This window comes from Homo sapiens, chromosome X, assembly GCF_000001405.40.
Source record: "Homo sapiens chromosome X, GRCh38.p14 Primary Assembly".
NCBI lineage: Eukaryota > Metazoa > Chordata > Mammalia > Primates > Hominidae > Homo > Homo sapiens.
Window position 1 is genome coordinate 71,986,410 of NC_000023.11, and position 25,512 is coordinate 72,011,921.

Sequence of the window (25,512 nt, forward strand, 5' to 3'; positions counted from 1 at the left end):
AGCTTTCTAAACAAGACCCAATAAAGACAGCATGAGGCCAATTGAATCTTGAATCTGTCTTTTCTTTTTCCCCTCCCTTTTTCCCTGCCATTTATCCAAAGTCATAGACAAAAACCTTTCATTATCTTTTCATATTATGTAAAAATCTTTTTTGAAACAGAAAACCAAATTTCATATTTGCATTAGTGCATTTTTCATGCCAAAGCTAGTTTTAAATAACATTTTATAAGTTTATCCAGTTTTAATTAGTTTGACCATAAGGTATGATTTTCATAAACCTCTTATAACTCTTTATAATTTTTGTTAAACAGATCAATCTTCTAAGAAAACCCTGTTATTTGGACACGTGGGCCCAAATTCTGGCACCAAATCAGTATGCTTTTAGTCCAATGTTCAGTTTATGGAAAAACTGAATACCCCTTTAATTTGAGCGAATATGTTCACACACAGAATTTCTTTTACAAGATTAATTTTTCACAAACCTTCCATAACTTGCTCAAACCTTCAGCTTTATCTTATCTAACTTAAAACAATCCGTTAACCCTTTAATCTAGGCAAGAAAAAAAAATCCACATTCCCATGCCTTTTTATAATCTTTTACCAAAAACACATTTCACTTTCTTTACACACTTTGCATGTAAAACTGTTTCTTTAAGCTGGGCGCGGTGACTCACGCCTGTAATCCCAGCTACTCGGGAGGCTGAGGCATGAGAATGGTGTGAACCCAAGAGGTGGAGCTTGCAGTGAGCTGAGATCGCACCACTGCACTCCAGCCTGGGCGACAGAGCGAGACTCCGTATCAAAAAAAAAAGAAAAAGAAAAACTGTTTCTTTAGTAGTCTCAAATACGTGTTACACGGTTAATTCTTAGCAACTTTTACTTTTGGTGAAAAGCTTGGCTAGTAAGCCATTGTAGTTAGGTACCAGGTCTGGAGTCTAGAACATCAGACAGAAGTACAGATAAAGGCTGACTCTTTCCAGCATACGTAGGGGGCATGGCTGTCCATATGTCCCCAGGCCTTATCTAGAATCTAATGCTCCAAGGTAGTAGGTAAATTGAACAATTTTCAAAAGTCAAAGAAGCAGTTTATGACCTTAAAGCATTTAGCAAAGCTAGTATGTGACCGAATTTAGACCAAATGTCTAAATTTTGAAGACATTTTTATTTTACCAGTAACCTTTAAAACTGTTTTTATTTCCCAAAGATTACTAAAGTCACATGAACCAAAAGGCTTTGTACTTTTACTTTTCTGATAAAATATTTGATTTAAGCTCTTATTTTTAAACCAATTAATCAAAACCCTTTTATACTACACACACAACACATATACATACACAGACAGACAGAAGATAAAAGAGTCATTCCCTAAGCCAGGAATTGAACCCTGAAGCCAGGCCACCACGGTGAAGACACAAAGCCTTAGCTACTGAGCTACAGCACTGGGAAGTTTCCATTTCTCTTCCTAGAAGGAGCCTAGAACAGCCAATTTTGAACTTGCAAAAGCTTTTAACTGCTTGAGATAATTTTAAGGGCTAACTATAACATGAAACCCCAAATTCCTGTCCACTGGATGATGGCAACCAAGAGAAAGTACTGCCACGTGGTTACAAGGTTAAGCTCCCAAGGACATTTTTCAACATGTAGTCTCTGGCGAGACAGTCGCCCTGAGTAACAGACAAGATAAGAAATGGAAAAGAGAGAAAGAAAGAGAGAAAAACATTGCTGCGGCAGGATGGGGAAGGCGAGTTGCTCACGGAGGCCAGAGAAAGATCCACCCATTGCAATGCCACTGAAAAGTTCAGGTTTTGTTGAAGGGATCTTTTTTGAAGGTTTTGTTTGTCAAAGGGATCTTTTCCAGCATTCCCATCAGCTCTCAAGTTTCCCCCTTTAGGGAGGAAAAAGCTCCCCATGTCCAATGATCCTGTATATACCTAATCTTGTCACCTACAGCCATCAGCAAAGGCAGATTAATTCAAAGAGAATAGCAGTTAATAGTAGTGCCAAACTCGTTCTTAGTCGAGAGGGACTTTACTGAGAGGGATCTCCAACCCCCTAAATCTTAGAAGGGACTCTAACGCTCCTAAGTTGGGCTTCTAACCCAAGGTCAGTCAAGCGTCCTTGACTTTTATTAAGAGGGGTCTTTAACCTTCTCTGTCTTAGGAGAGACACTAACTCCCCTAAATTGGGCCTCTAACTCAATCCCATCTTTTACACTGGTAAATGCACCCCACTTACCCAAAGTCGGCCAACTGGTGCTGCAGACTATTTCCTTTGGGTTGGGGGTCTCCTCAGTATCGTTCCTTCAGGGTTTGCCAGAAAGATGTTACCAGAAAAGGGTCCAGATCCAGACCCCAAGAGAGAGTTCTTGGATCTCGCGCAAGAAAGAATTTGGGGTGAGTCCATAGAGTAAAGTGAAAGCAAGTTTATTAAGAAATTGAAGGAATAGGAGAATGGCTACTCCATAGGCAGAGCAGTCTGTTTACCAATTTCTGGTTATCTGTTGACTTCCTGCCAAGCTAGTTAAAGATTTAGCACCATTGTCTAACTCATCACTATTTTGTATTCTTTTTTGGTTACCCCAGTAAGCTATGCAATATACTAACACTTTCTATGTTTTTGTTCCATCAAGTATGAGCTGCATCTTTTGAGTCCCCACTTGGTAGGCTAAGGTAGTGGCACCCTTCTTCTTCCCCTCAGCTCTGTACCCCACCCACCCTTCTCACCAGGTGGTGCTTTGGCAAAACACTTGGTCCTTATTTTGAAAGACCTTGTCTTTAAAAATACAAAAAATTAGCCGGGCGTGGTGGCACGCGCCTATAGTGCCAGCTACTCGGGAGGCTGAGGCAGGAGAATGGCGTGAACCCGGGAGGCGGAACTTGCAGTAAGTCGAGATCGCTCCACTGCACTCCAGCCTGGGCGACAGAGCAAGACTCCGTCTCAAAAAAAAAAAAAAAAAAAAGGTGGAAGATGTGAAAGATAAAACTAATTTTTATTAAGCATTTACTATGTGCCAGGAACTATGCATGCATCATCACATTTAATCCTTATCGTAGTCCTGGGAGGGAAATATCATAATTGCAATTTTAGAAATGAGAAAACTGTGACCAGACCATGCATCTGGTAGGGGGTCAAGCTGAGATTTGAAGCAAAGTTGAATCCAAAGCCCCTACTATTTTTTCCAGAGCCCCAAGCATCCTTCAACTTCAGTTTCATCTGCAGATTTTCAAGTCTCTTTTCTGTAGCGAAGGCTTGGACTAGCAGTCTTTAGCTATTTTTAGAACCCCACAGTGATTCCTGCTCATTCACCAATGCTGCAGCCTCTTCCCAGAGGGCAAAGAAAAGGGTGACTTGAGAGGAACCTGAAGGCAAATGAACCATCCCTATGGGGTGTGGGGAGAGTAGATCATCTGGATGGGTTTGCTGATTCAGTTGCATGCCTGGCAGGCTTCTCTCTACCTCGTGGCTCGGGCATTGAGCTTTGGAAGCCAGTACAGAAGTCCCACGTGGTCCCTGAGGTGACATGGGAATCATTTTACCGCATCACCAGGGCTCCGCCTGCCAGCATGCTGCCTTTGATTTGAGAAGCAAATACAGAATTTTGAAGATTGTAGCTGACTCAGACCATTGTTCTGGCATTGCGGTCATAGACACATGTGGGAAATTCCCAAATTGACTTTCCCACAGAGCTGCTTTGGAGTGGGGGACAAAAAGAGTTCGGGGGCGGAGAATGTATTTTAGTTATTTATTTGATTAGTGCTTGTTAAATCTTTGGACTGTTTCAACTAGAGGCACTGAATGGGATTTCCCCAGGGGTCACTTCTGGGCATCTAGAAGAGTCAAGAGGTCAAAAGGCCCAGACTCAATTTTCCATACTGAGGAAGGAGAGGCTAATAACATAAAACAGACAGTCCCAGATTCTTTCTATTGGTCTACAGGCTGCTGTCACAGAAAAACATTTGGACGTTCCCACCCACATACTTTCCCCCAACCCATGTCCTCTGGGTTCTCCCTCTCTGTTGGCGATCCAGCCATCCAGCCCACCTAGGAGTCATCTTCATTCTACCATCTCCTTGCCTCATAACAACCCTTCTCCTTCACCCGTGGGCCACCCCTTCTACACACACACACACCCATACCCAAGACCACCCCGCTCACACTGTTGATTTGCAGGGTCTTACACATTCACCCTTTCTCCTTTCTTGTTAGTGACCTCCAACCTCATCACCTCAGGCCTACTACTTTCTGTGCCTCCAGTTACACCTCCCACAACACTGGCCTGGCCCCAATCCATCTTGTCAACACTGCTAGATGAATCTTCCTGCAGAACAGCTTTCCAAGGCCTGCTCAGACTTCCCCAAGGCTTCTCTGCTGCTTCCAGCATAAAATCCAAATGCCTCAGCCTGGTTTTCGAGACCCCATTCTACCTGCTCTCTATTTCTATTTCCAAGCTCTGTTCTTGCCACTTCCCTACTGGACTGAGAACTTCTTGAAGATGAAGAACAAGCCTGGCTAACTACTGGGGCTGTGACAGGACAGGAGAGTGTCTAGGACATTGGGAGTCAGGACCTGTTTGCTGAGGGAGTGAAGGAATGAAAGAATGAGCGTGGTTAAGCCATCACAAGACTCATTTTGCCAAATAGTTGTGCAGGGTCCTCTGTCACTGACCAGTTGGGTGACCTTGAATAAGTCCCTTCCTCTTTCTGGGCTTCGTGTCTTCAACAGGTGTCTCAAACTTGCAGCTCTTGGGCCCAAAGGGCCTGCAAACATGTTTTGTTGGTTGGCACATTAACGTGATTTTGAATGCCTTTCTGGAAAGCGTGTGTGCTGTGGTTCCCCACTCTTCTCCCATTTTCTTACACCTCCCCACCTCCCTTATTTTCATTAGCTGCTTGGTGCCTAAAGGCATTTACATTTGTGACTCTTGGATTAGGTGGTGTTTACTCACCTTTCAACTCTGGCGTGGCTGGAATTCTCTGTTTGACCTGCTTTGAAATGAAAATTGCAAGTGCTTTGCTTAAGTGATTCCCAGTGTCATCTAATATACAGCAGTCAGGCCAGACTAACTTTGCCTTCCCAAAACAGGCCACCAAAGAACAGTGGAATATGCCGTTAGTATTTCTGACTTTGGCAGTCAGCTGCAGAGGGAGATTTTATTCCATTGAAAATAATTGTCTTTACATAGCCCAGCACAAGTGGTGCCCATTTATAGACTAGAAAGGACCAAGCACAGCGTGCCTATTGGCAGCCAGCTGGGCCTATACAGAGGGCACTGGTTGCAGGCACAAAGTGTGAATTTAGCCCAAGTTGCCTAGCCCAGTCCTTTCCAGAACAAAGTGCTGAATGAGGGGTGTGTGCTAGAAGCATTTCTCTCTCTCTGTCTCTCTATGTCTCTCTGTGTGTCTTTCTCTTTCTCTCTCTCTCTCTCTCTCTCTCTCTCTCTCTGTCTTTGGCTGTCAGTGGCCTAGTTTGCACTAAGACTCCATAGAGATACGCACAGAGGGCAGGGAAGATCAAGGAGGCATTCTCATCACTGGGTTCCTTTGCATTAGCCAGGCCCAAGGGCCACATGAGTTGCAGATCTGCCTGGCCACAGGCAGGCAAGGCACAGCTCACTGGGAGATGCTAGACAAACACAGCAGCTGCTGGAAGGCACTTGCGTAGTCTGGACAGCAACTGAGTCCCACACATTTGGGCAGCATCTGGGTGAAAGGTACTGGGAGGTGGGCAGAGAGGGCTGGTGTGGGTGTATGTGCCCATCACTGGGCATAGTCAGGCACTGGGTCAAAGTGGAAGCACTGATGACCTGTGGAGCCAAATGGCTGCAGTCACTGGGTGTATGTAGAGCCTGGGTGTCCCCAAAATCAGTGTGGAGGGCGTAGAGGGGCTATTCAGTTAGGGACACATAATAACATATCCACCTGTATGTAGCAGTTGTAGGCATCTGAGATAGTGGGTGGGGTGGGGAGGTGAGGAAGGAAAAGGGGAGAAGAAAGACTGTTTCTGACTAAGCTGTTTCATGTGTCCAGAACAACTGCAGGGAGCTTCCTGGGGGAAAAAGATTGACTATGTATCTTTGTCTCCCTGTTTCTGCCCTTTCCTGCTCTGCTGCTTAGGAACTCAGGGAGACAAAGCCCTAGTACTGTTTGTCAAAGTCAAATAGAATGGATAAAGCAAACTTTCCAAAGAAACTTTATGGAACACATTTCAAAGCCCTGGAGAAGCAATTTTAGGGTTTTTTGTTTTGTTTCTTTCTGTTTTTGGTTTTCTTTGCATGACTGCCACTAACTTATGTCAGCAAGGCGTTAAGTGAGACACTTAAGATCATTGCGGCTGCCAGGGGAAGTGGGTACACCCGCTTGTGGGGCTGTAAGACAGCACAGTCGCTGAAGGGCATTAGAGCTGGGCTGGGTTGGGCTAGGCTGTGGCTGGGACTGAAGACCGTGAACACAGCGGGACATGATGTGGTGTTGGTATGACTGTGGGTGTGCTGTGTGTTATGTACATGTTTGTGACAGCACTGAGGGACCTGGCTGTAGCTGTAGTGTGTGGATTTGTTCCGTGTAGCTTGAAACCAGGGTGCTCTGGCAGCGACAGGAACAAGTATGGGCCACAAAGCCAGAGAGCCCCAGTGTCAGCTAGATGGGAGGGGCGGGAACTTTTCTCACCTTCATTTCCACATAGCCAGCTGGGCCTGTGTCTCTGGCAGTAGTTGCTGGTGTCTGAAGGCTTTTATTCCACCTCTAACTGGCCTGCAGTATTCCAGCTGGAAGCCGTGGAAGCCCACACATTGACTTGTGCCGTTTCTGGCACACTCAGCTACCCCCAGTGGCCTGGAAGCCCAGCTTTTCCTGCATAGCCCTTGGTTGAAGACCCATACCTGAGCCTTATGTTCAGCGAAAGGCCTTATCATCACACAGTGAGGCTTCCTGCTAAAATGCAATCGCCTACTGAGATGGGAGCCATGGAGGGGATTCTGGGGTTGCTGTTCTCTATCTTTTGAGTAACTGGGGGTCAAGGTAAGCCAAGCCCTGGCCTGGTCTGCAGCTGCTGTCTGCACACTGCCCAGCCTCTCCACCCACTTCCACCATCACAAGGAGAGCTCTTGAGTACCCTGGAGGGTCTGAGGTAGACATGATGGTCCTGTAGGTGGTGGGCATTTGGGTTGTCATCCCCATAGCTACTAACCAGCTGGCCAGGCCTGGCATGGTATGGAGGCTCTGTCTGAATGAGCCAAGGATGCTCCGTCTTTAGCAGCAGGACTTTTGAGCAGTGAGAAGGCACTGGGGTTCCCTGGCCAGAGGAGGCAAATCAAATGCACGCAGGGCTACACTCCCCACCTGCCTCCCAGCAGGTACCATAAGGGTGAGAGTCGGCCAAGTGTAAGACAAGTCACGGTGTGACCAACCATAATGCCTGTCTTTTTACATTACTTTTGAAAACACTATGCAGGCCAAAACCAAAAAAAAAAAAAATATATGGCCAAACCAAAAGCATCTGCAAGCCACATTCAGCCTTCTGGCTGCCAGTTTGTATCAAATGTGAAAAGCAAAATTTAGTTGTACATCACTGAGAATTCTTTTGGCCTGGTGAACTCTTTCTTGGTCTTCCACATCTAGCTCCAATGGCATCTCTGAGCCACTTTCTCTGACCCTCTCCTTAGGCCAAACAAATGCTTCTCCTCTCTCTGATCCCTTAGTATCTATTGTAACATATTAGTATATTCATTCATTCATTCAATAAACCTCTATTGACTACTCTGGCAAAGGTAGTGCTGGGGTTACAGAGATGAACAAATAAGAAATAACCCCTGCCCTCGAGAAGCAACCAGCCTGATTGGAGGAAAGATGGGAGGGCAGACAGACTGAGAGATCCCTGAGGGAGGCTCCCTCTGTGTGTGTGTGTGTGTGTGTGTGTGTGTGTAAAAGTTGAGGAAGGTAGGCTTCGGGTGAAAAGGAGATGGCTCAGCCAGGTGCTGGAGGAACAAAATGAGTAAATCAAGCTGAAGAGGAGGCAGGGCCTTACTGGCGCAGGGAGCCCCTGAGCAGACCCCTGGAGTTATGGATACCAATGGCATGTTCACGCCCCAGTGTGTTGCCCTATGTGACTAGTGTTTAAGGAATGAGGACAAAATAATCTATACCTCAAACCCCTGAGGCATGCAGTTTACCTGCATACCTGCACATGTACCCCTGAACCTAAAATCAAAGTTTAAAAAAAGGAATGAGATGCTGTAAGTGGCTGTGGATCTTGGCTTTTTGTCCTCTGAAGGCAATGGGGAGCCACCTGTGGGTTTGGAGCTGGGGAGTGATGAGTCTGATCTCAGCTTTGCAAGGCCCACACTAGAGCCTCCACGTGTTAGACAGTCAGGAAGTGGGGCGAGACTGGTGATGGGGGGCCAGCCAGGGAGCTGTGTCCCCAGTGCCTGGACCTGCCCACTGCATACTTGCTGAGTGAGTGAGTAGATGAATGAGGTAGGAAGGGATGTGGAGAGTGGCTGCTGCCCCCACCCCTGTTTGGCAGGGGTGGCTTTCATAGGCATCCACTTGGGCATCTCATAGGCATCTCAGACTTGACCTATTCAAACCAGACCCCTGGCCTTGCCCCCCAAACCTGCTGCTCCTGCAGTTTTCACCATCTCAGTTAATGGCAGTCTCAACTTTCCAATTGCTCAAGACCCAAACCTCAAGGTCATTTTTGACTCTCATACTCCACATCCACTCCATTAGTAGTTTATGTTGTTTCTACATTCCAAATATATCCAGAATCAAACCACTTGTTACCACCTTCAAGATCTGTTCTCCTGTCATCTCTCACCTGGGTAATTATTTGCAGCAGCCTCCTGACAGGTCTCCCTGCCTATTCCAGCTTGGATCCTCTATGCTCTACTCTCAGCACAACAGCCGGTGTGATTCAGCAAAAACATAAGTCAGGTCATGTCCTTTCTCTGCTCAAAACCCTCTACTGGATCTCTATTTCAGATGAAAAGCCAACGTCCTTACAATGGCCCACAGGCCCTGCATACTCTATCTGACCCCCTGACCTGTAGGACCTCACCTCCTGCTCTCCTGCTACTCCTTCTGCACTCTGCACCAGCCACACTGGCCTCCTCACTGATCCCCAAACAGCCTCCAGGGGCTTTGCATTTGCTGTTCCCTCTGCCTAGAAATCTTTTCCTCTAGGTACCTGCGTGGTTCACTTCCTCACTTCAGGTCTCTCTACAAATGTCACCTTCTCAATGAAGCTTTCATTGACCATCTTATTATAGAATAACACCCCCAGCCCTGCTGGTCCCCTGAGCCCCTCCGTTGTTTCATTTTTCTCCAAGCCAGTTATTGCATTCTAACTTACTACATATTTTACTCATTTGTTTTATTCATTGTCTATCTCTCCCCACAGAATGTAAGCTTAATGAGAACAGAAACTTTTGTCTGTTTTCCCCTGTGGTATTCCTAGTGCCTGGACCAGTGCCTGGCGCATGGGAGACACTCAGTAAGGACTTATGGGATCAATGAATAGGTGGACTGTGGGGATCGGTGAGGTTGTCCTGGGCTATCTCAGGGCCATGTGATCTGGGATTCTCAGGAACAGATCACGTAGGGGAAGGAGAGAGCCACTGGACTGTAGGAGTTAGCAGGTCTAGCCAGGGTGACCTTGGGCAAGTCCCTTCCCCTCACTGTCCTCAATTTGTCCATTTATAAAGCAATTTATAATTTGATGTGATTGTCTCTAAGGACAAGCATTATGAGCCTCTGGGGGCAAGGTGGGGGCCTGGCCAACTGGGCTGCCATTCATGCCCCCTGGGCATGAGGGCAGAGATCCTCACTCCTGCAGTTCCCCATTTCTTTTTTGACTTCTTTCAAAGCGCCATCTTATCTTCACCCCACATCTATAAACATACCATGTCACAGCTGTTCAAATAGTGATGGGGCGGTGGCTGCCAGTCAGCTTCATTCAGCCAGGCCAGCTGTGCTCCCTGCAGTATGCCTCACTCTGGCTTGAAGGCCTGGGCAAATCCAGCAGTGGGATAGCATCCACCCCATTTTTCAGAGCAAACAATTCTATCACACCTGCCACACAGGTAGGCCCATCGCTGGAGCAACCTCACCTCCTCTCCTAGACCAAACTCTGTAGAAGAGTCTGGTCTGGTTTGGGCCAAGTGTTTATCAAGCATTTGTTACATTAAATTTTAATCCTTATGCTAACCATGTGAAGTAGGCATTATTAGACTCATTTTCAGAGGAGAACATTGAGTCTCAGAGGGGTTAAGAGTGCTGCCCAAGGTCCCATGCAGGACCTCTTCCCCCATGCAGGAGTCTCTTGGAAATCTGCTGACCAAGGTCTAGGAGGCTCACCCATGGTTGGAGCAATGAGACAGGCAGAAAGGATGCTTCGTTCTTCCTTCAGCTCCATCCAGGCCACAGGTGGAGCCTAAGTGGTGGAAAACAGGCCAGCCCAGATGGAAGTCATCACTATCCCACTGGTTCCCTGAGGGCTGAGCAGGAGGGAGGCGCCTTCCCGTCTTGCCCTGCCAGGAATGTGGGGCGTCCTGAGAGGCTGGGACCAGTGAGCAATGGGGGCGGTGTGCGAGTTACTCCATGTGATAAACTATTTTCCTTTCTCATTCCAAGGATCAGAGAGCACTTGGTGAGCTGTTCTTTGTTCCAATGGAAACAGAATATCAGAAAAGCCCAGTGGGGGACAGTCAAAGTTTCCTTTGTCTTCTTGGGCTAGGAGGCTGAATGGGAGGACTGTGGCAAGGTGGGTGGGGCAGGGCCACTACAAGGGCAACAAATCGGTAGAAGGGGGATCAGGACAGGACTCTACGACAACAATGGGGGAAGAAAAACCCACAAAGAGCTAAGAACGTGCCAGTGGGGAGGCCTTACAGCCTCCCTCGTGCAGCCTTACTCTATGTGGATCTGCTAAGTCTGACAGTCTCCAGCAAGGGGCTGGGGAGTCACAGCACAGCTAGTGCTCTCCTGGCCCAAGATGTGCCAAAGGCCACCTCCAGGACCACTGCCCTCCACACGTCCTCTGAACTCCCTGGCCCAGTCTCTTTACTGCCCCCATAACACAATGTGCTTCTACCAAGAATGATAGGAATTCAAATTTATCGAAGTCTTTGAAAGTTTGCCAAGCACTTTCCCATAGCTCTCCAGGAGGCAGAATAGCCTACTGGTTAGGAACACAGGCTCAGGGCCCATACTGCCTGGCTCTGCCATTCCACTGCTGTGCGATCTTGGGTAAGTTACTTAGCCTCTGTGCCTCAGGTTCCTCATCTTTAAAATGGGAATAATCACAGGATCTACATCTTAAGGCTGTTTTCAGATTAAGTTGGCTAATGTTTAGGCTCCCTAAAAGCAGAGATTTTTGTCTTTTATTCATTGCCATGTCCCTAGGGCCTAAACAATCCCTGGCACCTGGCAGGTACTCAACAGATATTTATTAAATATATATAAAGGGCTTAGGATGGGAGCTGGCACTTAGCACAACAAGTGTTAGTTTTTGTTGTTATCTTTTGCATTCTCACAATAGTTCCAACAGGAGCATTCTGAATTTCATGCATGTTAGTGTTGCTCCTCCTTGTAAGGTTCAAGTTCTAAGTCAAGGTACTGAAGGAATATGCAACAGACTTAAAATGGAGGGCAAAAGTTTGGGCCACAGAGGATTAGGAGTACAGCTGTCAAATATTAGTAAAAGCATTCGTTCATCCATTCATTCAGTCATCTATTCTACAAATATTTCACAAATACTCCTAAGGGCCAGGCCCTGAGCTGAGAGCTGGGGATGTATTGAAGACAAGATAGACAAGGGTTTCTACATTTGAGGAGCTTAACTTGTAATGGAAGGAGACTAGCAAAAACAAGTAAAGATCTAAAAAGCACTTATTAGCACTTATTCAGATAGCAATAAGTGTTATGAAGAAAATCAAGTAGTATAATGGGATAGAGAATGGCTGGGGTTGTGTATGTGTTGGGGTTGCTTTAGTTTATGGTCAGAGAAGGCATCTGAGGTAGGAACACTGGCACTTTTCTGGGGCGTCTTGGTCTCAGGTCAAGGACCTCTGTTGAGAGTTGGCCTGTGACACCATATCATCACCACCTCATCCTTCTGCCTAAGGCAGGGGTAAGCTGCTCAGTGTAGTTCTGGGGATCTTTACGTGGAGGTTTAGTGTGAAGGGCTGGAGAGAAGGGGGCTATGAACATGTGGCGCCTGCATAGGAAGGTTCTGGCATTAGTTGTCCTCTGGCAAAACCTATTGGTTGCTCTAGGTTAAACGATGGTCAGTGGCCTTTCAGCTCCCCCTTCATCTTTCTGCACTCTCAGGGAGGAGGTGTCTGGCCGTGGGGTCCTCTCCACTGCTGATCTATACTCAATGCCCTCATGCCCCATGCTCATTCATGACACCACCTTCACACATGCAAACACTGCCTCATCTTTCAAGATAGCTCAGACACCATCACCAGTCACACTGGAGGGCCCTTATTCATTACCTGTTTGAGCATCTCCAGAGCATAGTATGGAATGGATACCTAATAGGTGCTTAATAAATGAAGGAATAAATGAGTGACTGTTGTTCCTTCTGCTTCCTCAGCTGACTGGCTCATTCCCACTCATGCATCAAGACTCAGCTCACACATCATCTTACATGAGAAGCCTCCCTCAACCTCCTTGTGTCTGACCTGGGGAGCTCTTGTTCATCCTTGATGTTCCCCTTGACTTCCTCAGCCAGAATTTGGCCCTCCCACCTCTGAATGCTCCACCACATTCTATTACCCTCTATCGTATCCATCGCTCTACAGGCACTGTCTGCTACTGTCCTGTCACCTCCCCTAATCTCTGATTTTCTCAGGCAAGGACTGTGTTTTGGTCATCTCTATATCCCCAGCACTAGCCCCTAGAGGGCGCTCAATAAATATTTGTGAAATTAATGGGGAAAAAACCGTGAATGAATTGTTTGTCAATTTTGCTTAGAGTGGTGTGCTGGGGCTGGCTTGTAGTGGTTTGCGAGAATCAATTGTTAAATATTTAGGAAACGTATGAGCCAGTTGTTAAATACAGCCATCATTAAAAATTAAATTATATGAGAAAACAGAAGACAAACTGAAATTGAGAGACATTCTACAAAATAAATGACCAACTAAATACAATATGGGTCCTGGATTGGATCCTAGAATGGAAGAAAGACTTCAGTAGAAAAGCTGGTGAACTCCAAATAAGTTTGTACTTTAGTTAATGTTGTACTAAGTTTAATTTCTCAGTTTTGATCAATGTTTTATAATTATGTAAGATGTCAACATAAGGGGAAGCTGGGTAAAGGGTACACAGAAACTCTCTGTACTGTTTTTACAACTCTTCTATAAGTCTAAAATTATTTCAACATTTAAAAAAAAATTGTCAAGTTCCAATACTTCTTGGTTGTTTCACTTTCTTCTTACTCATTAACATAAATGAAAATATCAACCATCATTCATTTAGGAACTGCACTTGCTCTTCTGTTATGGCCGAAGTTTGGCTATTGATATGTGTTCAGCAAAAATCAATGAAAGCATTATGGGAGAATCCATTGGTTATATGGAATTTATAATAAAGAGTATTATATATTTCAGTATTATCTGTAAATTGAGCACTTCACATTCTTATATAAGTAAATTTATAATAAACCTATGTATGTATGTGTATATTTATATATACGTTTGTGCATTTTTTTTGAGAGCTGGTTGCTGAACACTTACCAGAACACCACCGGTCCTACATATGAATTATGATCTCATCAAACACATTGAAGGAAAGAAAAGAACATTGCCCAGCACCTTCTCTGTGCGAGGCTGTACTATCCCTTTGTGTTCATCATTACAGGTGCTCTTTACCTCAACTCTATGAAGTGAGGGTATTGTGGTCTCCATTTTACAGATAAGGATATTAAGGCTAAGAGAGGTTAAATGACTAGACTAAGGTCAAGTATTGGTATACAGTGAGCCAGCATTAAACTACATTCATCTGAGTCCAAAGCCAATTGTATTAGTATCATATTGCTGCTGTAACACATTACCGCAAATTCAGTGGCTTAAAACAACACAAATTTATTATCTTACAGTTCTGGAGGGCAGACGTCTGAGATTGGTCTCACTGGACTAAAATCAAGATGCTAGCAGGGCTGCATTCCTTCTTAGGACTCTACGGGACAATCCTTTTCCTTGCCTTTTCCAGCGTGTAGTGGCTGCCTGCATTCCTTGACTTCAAAACCAAAAGTGGCCATTCGAGTCTTTCTCACATCCCATCACCCTGATTCTGCTTCTATACATCTCCTTCTCTGACTCTGACTCTCCAGCCTCCCGCTTTCACTTTATAAAAACCCTCATGATTACATTGAGCCCACCCAGATGAGATGGGCAGCTTCTCCCCATTTCAGTCAATGTCAGCTGATAAGTAACTTTAACTCCACCTGCAAACCTTAGTTCCCCTTGTTATGTAACTGAACACATTCACAGGTTCCAGAGGTTAGGATGTGGACATCGTTGTGGGGGCTATAATCCTGTCTATCACCCTTGTGCTTTTTCCATGACCTTCTCCTGCCTCACCTGTCATTTTAGTGGTCACAAAATCTGATGTGGGGCCTATGGAATTCTTCCTGACACCTGCATTGCCACACATCTCTGTGCTCTCCCTTTGGAGTAAGATGCCCCTTTCAGTCATTCACCCAGCCAGTCAGACAGCCTTGTAGGGGAATGGCTTCTAAATCCTGGGGCTTTTAATCGTGGACATATATTTTACCTATGTTCTTACTAAAGTGTTTTAAAAAAATACTTTCCAAGATTTTTGTGCATTCCTGGCTTTTTACTTCCTTTCCACAGTGCTTATATGGTGCCAGAGCCCTCCTTTCCAACATGGCTGGTTTCGCTGTGCTACGGTTTACCCATTCCCACCTTCTGGACCTGTTTCTAGTCAGCAGCTAGGATCATGCATTATTTATTTGTTCTTCTCATAGACTTTTACATTGCCTTCTTCTGGAAATGGCCCTGGACTTAACTAAAATGTACTTTTCCCACCCCTGCCAATGAGGTATATGTCTGTCTGTGTTTACTATTTCTCTCTGACTGGCTTCTCAGAAACAGACTCTCTAAGTAACAGTTTCCCATCTTCCCTTGTTTCCTCCACACTGAGATCCCTAATTCTTGTCACGAGAAACCTCCTCCACTGAGACCAACCGAATGGCCAGAAGTTGCCCCTCCCCCCAGGAAGCCTTAACAGCCAGACCCATCTCTTCACCGCTTGTGAGCTCTGACTACAACATTCTTGTCTCTACCTTCAGTCTTGTCAACAGCTCTTTGCTCCTCCTTTCTACCTGTCAGACTTACACCCATACTTTGGGGCCCAGTCTGAATCCTACCTTAAGGTAGGCTCACCTTGAGGAAAACTTTCCAGATCATCCCAGCCCAAGGGACTCATGTCCTCTGTATGTGTCTAGGACTTATTGTCAGCAGCACTTATTTTGACAAATTTATCATCTACCATTATGGAGAGGTTGCAAACTGTTGGCTGGTGAGCCAAATAATAATGCCCACAGGTGTATTTTGTTTAGTCTGCATGTGGTTTGTTTCTTTTTAAACTATGTGCTAACATGTAGCAATTAGTAATCTTTCCATACAATCTGGATTTCTAGCTTCTTTGAAAAACAGAAAAATCTGGTAATACTGGATCTGTATGCCCCCAAGACAGTAGTTAGCTAGATTGGCATGGCCGGGTGGCAGCTTCCACTTTAGATGGAGTATGTGCTCTCCAGCTAGACACAGTCCCCACTACTCCGTATTGTCTCACTCCAACCTCATTCACTCATTTATAGTACCTTCCTGGCTCCTAAAGGCATTTGAGTTATCTGACATATTTCACACCTGCCTAAGTTTCCAGCTATATTACAGTCTCTTAGAGGAAAGAAACTTTATTTTGAATTTATTTTGCTTCTTTTATGCTGCTGTGGACATAGTAGATGCTTGATCAATATTGAGAGAAGAAATAATTTTACTCTAGATAATTCTACAGTGTGTTAGAATTTACTTTTGCTGCAAGATAAAGCTTTATAAATGTAACATCTATTAAGAGAGTACCATGTACCCGACTCAGTGTCAGATGCCTCGGAGCAACTTTGTGATTAGTGATATTGTTCTCATATCACAGATAAGGAAACCGAGGCTCAGAGAGCCTATCCAGTAGGACTGGAGCTGTAGATCTGGTAGTCTCTGTGGTAAGAACCAAAGCCTTTGTTCCATGAGGAAACCTTCCTAAGTATCAATGCTGGAAGCAGAGAGGAGCTTCCCCTGAGGCTCTCTGGTAAAGTTTGTTTACAAACTCACAAACTCTGAGACTTAATTTGGTTTGGATAGAGATTGAGCATTTATTAAATGCTTATTGTGTGCTGGGTATTTACCAAATAACTGCACTTATTTTTGGACTATCAGGAATTCTGAGCATCCTAGGTAGCCCACTGATAAGATGAGGGAAATACACATAAATAGACCCTAATTGCTGATGGGATTTGGAACCCATTTGGTGAGTCACATTCAATTGACAGAGTGCCCACTGGTTCCCTTGTCCATATGCGCACAGAGATTGTGCTATTCCCTCATGCTGTCACTGGTGGTACTGACGTGTGGTGCGGGATGGGAAAACATGGAGAAATTATGCGTGTTTAATTGCACAGCAGCAAGCAGAAAGGAATGTGAGTGCCAAAGACTCCCACTGAAGCAGAAATCTGGTGTCGTGTGTTGCTGAACAGCTGCAGGAAAATTTGTCTGGACCTTTGGAGGCAGAGAGGTGGGTTTGCCATACTTTGGTTCTGAGTAACTTTGAGGGCAACGAGGATTTATAGGCAGCAGATATGTACATCTAGAAGTTTCACTCTGGAGCTTTCACCTGGTTTCTTTGCTACCCTATCCCTTCCAGCCACCACCAGTTCAAGCCATGGCTAGGAGCAGAGGGAGATAGGAAGGCCTCAGCCCCAGGGCCACTAGGTTACTCCAGGTTTCATGTGTCCACAGCCCTGCTTAGGGCCACCAAAATGCTCAGGTTCAGCTGGGTGGGCTAAACCACCTAGAACTGGGTTCAACTCTCTCCTCTATTCCTACAAGTATGGCCTTATGCAAGTCACTTAATCTCTTCAGGCCCAAGTTTACTTCTATGTGTGAGGAGTCAGAAGGTGATGTTGCGTGGGGCCTGGCCCATATCTTAAGAGATGGATCTATGTCCATAACACCCTGAATGCTCCCAATCTCATCAAGAGATGGGATCTGTAAGCTCTATAATGATTCAGTTGAACAATAAACTATCATAGTCGTTACTCTGTATTGCGGGCCTGACAGACCCTATGCTAAGCCATTCATCATCTCTTTAATCCTTAAAGGAAAGATTAAAAAAATCTTGAGTTAGGAGAGGAAGAGTGACTCATGGAAGGTCACCCAGCTAGTAAATAACAGAACCATCATGAGCTCCAAGCAGAGCCACTCTAGAGCCAACGCTTCTAACCACACCACCTGCCTGGCATTAGTTCCACTTCACACATGAGGAAACTGAGGTTTAGGAGGCATTATTATCAGGGGCAGGACTTGGGTTTGCAACTTCTGTCTCTTTTGTTTAACTTGCTGTGTCACTTTGGACAAGTTGCTCAACCTCTCTGAGCTTTGGTTTCCTGATTTGGAAAATGTCAGAGTCCAAAGCCTCTGGCAGCAGTGAGAAGCAGTATCCTGTGGGAGATGGTGGAGGGGAGGGGCTAGGAATGTCCCGGAGACAGAGAATGAGAAGACATGGGTGTGACTGTGGCATTATGAAGTGGAGGCAGATCTGGAACGGAGACTTGCCAGAGTGAATGTGCCTGGCTCGCACTGCCTATTTAGCAGCCGTCCTGTGAGAGCCCAGATGGGCCAGGTGGGCAGGAATCTGGCCAGGCTCCACAGGCACACCCACACCGTGAGCTGCTGTTGCCACCTAGGGGACAGGCAGTGACCAGGGGCCCAAGTTTGGCTGTGGCTGTGGCTCAGCGGCTGCACATTCCCAGTCTCCTGCTGGTTTCCGGAGCGGAGAGGGATGGCCACGGCTTGCTCCAGGAGTGGGGAGGGGAGTAAGGAAAAGCAGTGAGGAGTGCTGCCTCTGGTTTGGGAGTTATAAATAAATCCATCTGGAAGTGTTTGGGGCTGTGGGAGCCTGAGGTCGGCCCTGCAATTCAGGCCATGTGGTGCATATTTCCATTCACACCAGAACCACCCCCGCAGCCCCCTACCGCCCCGCCCCAGTCCCAGGGGACTGTCTGCTAGGACCTGTCCGCTCCGGCCCAGGAGAGCTGGGCGAGAACCTTTCAGGCCCCAGTTTTCAGCCCCCACCCCCACCTTCCGCTCCTGGCAGCCCAACTTCAGCAAGATAATGTCTGAGAAAGTGCTTCAAAAAGTTTTATGTGCTATCCAAGTGTTGGTTGAATGAATGAATGAATTTTCAATTCAGCATTTAGCTTGTAAGCTCCCCTTGCTGGGAAGGGGCCCCTTGGTAGTTATGGAAGGCGAGGCATTCTGGACTTTTAGCCTCCATCTCAGGATCACGTTTCCCACCCACCGAGCTAAGGCAGGCTGAGATACAAATGCATATTGCCCAAGTTTTGTTCATCTTTCTATCCTCAGCACCAAGGGTAGCGCTCAGTAGGCATTGGTTATATGAATGAATGAGTATCTATATTAATTTTTTTAAACAACTTTTGTAGAGACAGAGGTCTCTCTTTGTTGCCCAGGCTGGTCTTCAACTCCTGGCCTCAAGGGGTCCTCCCGCCTTGGTTTCCCAAAGTGCAGGCATTACAGGCATGAGCCACTGCACCTAGTCCAATTTGTTAATTTAAGCAGCACTTATTGCACATCCTCATGTGCAGTGCACTCTGCTGCATGCTGAGATCACAGTGGAGAACAACATAGAGTCCCTGCCTCATTGAGCTAGTGGTCACTGTGTTTCTTGGTGAAAGTACTATTGTTGCTTGGGGTGAGTCAATTCTTTGCAGGGTGGGATTCTGTGCATTGCAGGATGTTTAACCTCATGATTCCCTGACTCTAAAGGCCAGTAGTTCCCCGGAGTCATTTTGAACAACCAGAGATGCCTCTAGACATTTCCAAATACTTCCAGGGGACAGGAGAGTGCAGCCCTGGTTGAGGGCCACTGTGGAGGAACTTGACAATGGGGCGTGAAGCAAGGCAACCTCCAAGGTGTGAATGTGTTGAGTCCTCTGAGTTCACTTATAAATTGGTGGTTTAGAACTGGGGAATCACGTTTGCTTTATAGAGATGTAAGATGATTCATCAGTGGCTGGATTAGGCCCAGAAGCCCATAATGTAGCTGAGTTACATGGTTCTACCAGACTGGGTTAGTGCTGAGGGGCAGGCATCGAGATGGCAATTTCGGACATGTTGATGAGATGATTACTTGAAAATGTCCAGAAAGTAACTAGAATCTGATCCCAGGGGCAAGTGAGAGGTCAGCTCTCAAGATATAAATTTGGGATAAGCCCACGTTGAGGTAGGAGTTAGACCTGAGGCCCAGGTTCCATTAAGGTTATCCAGGGAGAAGGTGTTGGGAAAGTTGCAGAATGACTCCAGGATAAGTCCAGAGGTAGAGAAAGTAGGCCCCAGTGGTATCTCTTCTCTGCCTCCTCATTTCTGTTCCCATGGTTAGCACCCTGTTTCAGGACTTCAATTTGTGACAGGACCACTGCAGCAATCTCCTTACTGGCCTCCTTTCTGCTTTTGGTCTCTCTGCCTGTCCGAATTTTCTTTTTAAAACATGGCTTTCATCATGTCCCTTCCCAACATTCAACAAGTCCAAACTGCTTAGCCTTGCATTCTCACCCACTGCGATCCAGCTTCCCACCAACCTGACACATCTTTGGTGAGTTGGCTCCGCGTTCCCCTTTCCAGGTTCATGGTTTATCCGTCTCTCAGACCTTACTGTGTGGCTACACAGAACCCCAAATACACACTGCCTTCCTCTCCTCCATGCTATCTCCACCCCTGGGATGCTCTTTGACCCTCTTTCCATTTGGAAAAATCTCACTCAGGCATCAAGGCCCAGTGCAAGTCTCCTGCATTTCCCCAACCCCTCAGAGGCAGGCAGATGCCTTCCCACCTCTGTGCACCCTCCTCTCCAGCTCTCGCTCTGTTGCCCAGGCTGGAGTGCAGTGGTGCCATCACGGCTTACTGCAGCCTTAACCTGCTGGGCTCAAATGAGCCTCCTGCCTCAGCCTCCCGAGGAGCTGGGACCACAGATGTGCCACCATGCCTGGCTAATTAATTTTGTAGAGAAAGGTTCTTGCTCTGTTGCCCAGGCTGGTCTTGAACTCCTGACCTCAAGAGATCTTCTCACCTTGGCCTCTCAAAGTGCTGGGATTACAGGTATGAGCCACTGCTCCTAGCCATCCAGTTTTTCGTATACACCATGGGACTGCAAGTCTCTCCCACAAGACTCTGAGGGCAGTGACCATGACTCGTTTTGCTCTGCAATTCCATTGCCCAGCCCAGTGTGAATGGACAAGAAAGTGGGGCTGAGGATGGGCTGGTATGGCAGGGCAAAGAGGAAGTGGAATGGTCTCTTTCAAACCTCACCATGGATCTACTTGAGCCACTTTTACCTGCTCTCTCCCTACAAGTACTGTCTTTGGATGAGGGTTTGTGGAAGAGCTAGGAAAGAGAAGGAGCCAAGGCAAGGGACAGGCAGAGGGAGCAGCGTGGAGAAGAGAGGAGATGCTGAGAGGATGAAAGAGAAAGAAAGTGGGGGAGAGCAAACGTCTGCATTGGTGGTTCACATACATAAAGGATTCAGGTATGGTAGAGTGGAATAAGAAAACATTTGGGATTCTGAAAATAAAATCAGCTGCTTTGGCAGGTCAGCTGAATGTACAGTTAATTAATAGGCATTAGTGCCCTTTGGTGCTAAGCTGTGCATGGAACCATGTCCTGCTGGGATCAAATGGCAGCTACCCGGGGATGCCCTTTTAATAAAGAGCAGAAAGCAGCACTGCCATGTAAGAGCTGCAGAATCCCTCAGAGAGTTCTTCTTAAGGGCACCAGGGACCACTGGAACCCCAGAGTTGCCCCACATCACTGGCCTGGCTCTTGCCAAAGAAAGGTGGGCATGAGAAGAGAACTAACACATACTGAGCAGCTAGTATCCCAGGGGCTATGCCAGACACACAAAAGCTCATTTGATCTTTACTGCAACTCTGTGAGGTAGCAATTAGCCCTGTTTTACAGATTAGAAAATCAAGGTCCTAAGGAGGGTTAAGAATCTTGCCCAAGGGCACACCGCTTGAAAGTCTTGGATCCCAGATTCCAATGAAGGTCATCCTCTCCCCTTGATGAGCGGGCCAGGACCCAGAGGTTGGCAGCAGTTTGCTCTCCATTCTGGCTGACTTTGGCTGTGGGGCTGATCTCTTTGGATTGATTTCTTTGAACATAAACAAAATACCATCAGTTTTTCCTGGCTTTGGAATGAGCCCTCAGAATCATGTGCTTTTCTCCAGTTTCCAGCTGGGTGCCTTTGCTGGGGGAGTTCGTGAATATGAAGCAACAGGTCTCATTCTGAGAATCAACACTGTGCACCAAAAAATACCAGGGTACTTTTGCTCCCAGGAGGTATTTCAAGCTGGAGGCTTTCAGCCTATGGGGCCAAGTTTTCCATTTTTTCTTCCCTTTCAATGACCTGCATATGATTGACAGTTGCCTGTTTTCCCAGGAAAATTATAAAATCTTTATCAAAATATTGGCACCTTTGAGTTGTTGCCCACACTCTGTTCTGACTGACTGTGTGACCCACGTCCCTATCTGCTCAGTGGTTGGACGTGTTCTGTCTGCTGTCAACCTGTGAGTCGGTGAGTAGAGGACAGGAGGTATGGACAGGACAGGCTGCGGACAGTGTTTTCCAAAATTCTGATGTGACATGTTTAAGCCAATTCGTGGAGGAGCCAATGGAGGTAGAGTGGCTGGAGCCAATAAGGGGTTTAGAGCAGGGGACAAAATGGCACCCAGCACCACCCCATGGAGATGCGGCTTTGGGGTGGGGTAAGTTGGCTAGAAAACCGATGATGATCGTTTTCTGGAGTTGTTCTGGAGTCAGGAACAGTCTAGAAACCCTTTGAATTGAACCTTGGCACAGAGTTGTATGTCCCACACATGTGATAGGGTATTAGGATTATCATGCTGCATGCAAGACCTTCTGAAATCTTGCTGCATAACAGAACTTTCAGTCATACATAATGACATGCTGAGGAATAAGTTGCTCGTCTTGAGTTTGGCCTTTTGCCCTGGTCATTGTAGTGGAACAGGATTTTTCTTCACCACCTTCAAAATCGATTCAGAATCTGGCTACTTCCTGCCACCTCCACTGCTATCACCCTAGTCCATGCCACCATCGTCTCTGGCCTGGATTATTTTAGTATCCCTGTCACCAGTCTCCCAAAGTGATGCTGTGAAAACATAGTGTGAGCATGTCAGTATCTGCTCAACATCCTCCACTTGCTCCCCATCTCACTCAGATTCAAAGTCAAAATCTTTATAGTAGTCCACAAGGTCCTGCATAATCTGGTCCCCCTTACCTCCTTGACATGATCTCCTACAAATCCCATCGTCTGCCTCTCCATTCCAGCCACACTAGCCTCCTGATCATTCTTTAAGTTTTCCAGGTACATTGTATTTGCTTTTCCTTCTGCCTGGAATGCTTTTCCCCAGTATATCAGGAAGGATCCCTGGAGGGAGTGCTCACAGGAACTGGGAAACGGTTGCTGTGTGGAGAGAACCACCTGACGGGAGCTATGGCCTTTGGCAGAGGGATGCCGCCAACTCATGGTGACCCTGAACAGAGAGAGTGGATGACTAAATACCCCAATCTCACTTTTCCTTTTTCTTCTGGTTTCTTTGCAGGTGCTTCCCATTGGTCAAACCTAACCCGAAGCCAGAGGGCAAGGGAGCCTGTTGATGCCATCCACACAGGTCAGCCTACCAGGGTACAAGCTGTGTGGAGAAGGGTGGAAAAGATGTGGACAGACAAATGGAAAATGTCCAGAACAACTGGATATCTTTGTAGTTGGCTCCCTCACTTCCTTCACATCTCCACTGGAATGTTTGTTACCTTTTCAGTATGTTTCAGTTTGTTACCTTCTCAGTTTGTTACCTTCTCTGGCCACCATTTCTAAAATTTCAAGCCCCAGCCCTCAACACCTCATATCCTCCATCCATGCTGTTTGTTCTTCCTAGCACTTAATACTATCTGACATGTACTTTATTTATTTCCCTTGCCTATCGTTGGCTCTCCCACTAGAATGAGAGCTCCATGAGGGCAGGGACTTTGTTCTGTTCACTGCTATAGTCAGTGCCTAGGACAGGACCTGGCACAGAGTAGGTGTCCAATAAATTGTGAATGGATAAATGATTCACAATGGATAAATGATGTACTCTCTGGGGCCACTCTAGTGAGTCTGCTCTCAGCCAGGCACAGCTGGATGTAGGTTACCAGTTGTTACTCATTCCTGCTGTTCACAGTTTCCTCTAAAGAGGCTCAACTGCTGCCATGTTTTCAGGTCAGCGGGTGGCAAGGCCTTTGCTGCCTCCGGTATTGAAACTTGCACAACAGTTTGTTGACTTGAATCTTATGGAAATTGTTGCTGCATTAATTGGCATGGACTGAGCTTTGTGTATTATTTAAGTTGTCATCAGCCACAGTGGGTAGATTCATAGTCATAGGGGCACTGGTTCTTCCAGGTGGTTCTTCCATACCTCAAAGGTAGCCTTGATTGCTAGTGGGCCTATTTCCAAATTAGGAGGCTCAGTAGCCACTTCCTTGAGGCTCACGGGCAGGGGACCTGTGAACTGGGTCCTATGACCACAGTGTTGGTGACACAGGGATAGGTGAAATCAGGATAAGCAAAACAGATATGCATTTCTAGAACAATGTAGTTGTGTCCAGGCTGATGTTTTTATTATACAAATAACATAGGAATAATATTCTTGTTGTGAAAAAAAATCAATTCAGCTACAATTCAAATCTCTATCTCTCCGGTCCCACTCTGCTCCCCGAAGGTAACCACTGTTATCAGTGGAGAGTGCCCACTTTCTTCCAAATCTCTTTCTGTGCATACACAGTTTGGTTTTATGTGGGTACTTAAAAATAAATGGTGTCACACCATATATACTAATCTGCTTTTTTTCACTTAGGAATATGTCTTGGAAACCTTTCTGTTTTAGGAGACATATGGATCTAGTTCATTCTTGTTTTCTTAATTAAACTTTTAATTGTGATTAAATTATGGATTCACATGCAGTATAAGAAATAATACAGAGAGGTCCCATGTACCCTTCACCCAGTTTTCCTCAATAATCACTTCTTGCAAAACTATAGTACAATATACAAGCAGGGTGTTGCCTTTATACAGTCAAGATACAGAATATTTCCATCACCACAAGGATACTTCAAGTCATCCTATCATAGCCACGCCTATTTCCCTCCCACCCTAACCTCCTACTTAACCCCTAGCGACCACTCATCTATTCTCCATTTCTAAAATACAGTTGTTTCAACCAGGTTATGTAGTAAAATAGAATCACACAGTATGCAAACTTTAGGGATTTTGTTTTCAGTCAGCATAATTTTCTGGAGATCCATCCAGGTTGTTGCGTGTATCAATAGTCTGCCCCTACCCCTTTTCCAATAATCTGCTCCTTTTTATTGCCGAGTAGTCTTCCATGGCATGGATGTATCAAAGACCGTTTATCCATTCACCCACTGAAGGGCATGTGGGTTATTCCCAGTTTTGGGCTCTTATAAATAATGCTGCTATAAACCTTCACGTAACAGGTTTTTATGTGGAAATAAGTTTTCATTTCTCTGGGATAAATGCCCAAGAGTACAATTGCTGAGTCATATGGTAATTGCATGTTTAGTTTAAAAAACAAAAAACAAAAAACTGACGGCCAGGTGCGGTGGCTCACACCTGTAATCCCAGCACTTTGGGAGGCCAAGGTGGGCGGATCACGAGGTCAGGAGATCAAGACCATCGTGGCCAACACGGTGAAACCCCATCTCTACTAAAAATACAAAGATTAGCCAGGCGTGGTGGTGCGCACCTGTAGTCCCAGCTACTTGGGAGGCTGAGGCAGGAGAATTGCTTCAACCTGGGAGGTGGAGGTTGCAGTGAGCTGAGATCTTGCCACTGCACTCCAGCCTGGATGACAGAGCGAGACTCCATCTCAAAAAAAAAACAAAACTGGCAAACTGTTTTCCAGAGCGGCTGTACCATTTTACATTCCCACCAGCAATGTATGAGGATTCCAGTTTCTTGGCATCCTCATCATCATTTGGTGTTCTCACTGTTTTCCCTTTTAGCCGTTCTTCTCTAGGTGTGAAGTAATATCTCATTCTGGTTTCAATTCTCATTCCCCTAAGATTAGTGATGTTGAACATTGTTTCATGAGCTTCTTTGCCATCTGTATATCTTCTTCAG

The 25,512-nt window shown here is 46.0% G+C and overlaps 1 protein-coding gene across 8 annotated transcripts in view, besides 1 other annotated feature; it reads left to right on the plus strand.

Annotated features, from left to right (window-relative positions):
* Window positions 1–25,512, plus strand: part of NHSL2 (NHS like 2) — a 242,442-nt gene that overhangs the window by 75,565 nt on the left and 141,365 nt on the right. For 7 of the 8 annotated variants that reach the window (NM_001438805.1, XM_047442065.1, NM_001438806.1 and 4 more), the window contains exon 2: window positions 22,937–23,005. The exons of the other annotated variant lie outside the window; for it this stretch is intronic. In NM_001438805.1, coding sequence (NP_001425734.1) covers window positions 22,937–23,005 — 69 coding nt within the window. The remainder of the gene's footprint in view (window positions 1–22,936; window positions 23,006–25,512) is intronic. 8 annotated transcript variants of the gene reach the window in all.
* Window positions 10,362–10,963: an enhancer, noted in NCBI's record as "OCT4-NANOG-H3K27ac hESC enhancer chrX:71216621-71217222 (GRCh37/hg19 assembly coordinates)". NCBI's record gives its function as "activates a minimal SCP1, AML or CMV promoter by ChIP-STARR-seq in naive and primed H9 embryonic stem cells {active_cell/tissue: H9 hESC(naive and primed)}" and the evidence as "EXISTENCE:reporter gene assay evidence [ECO:0000049][PMID:30033119]".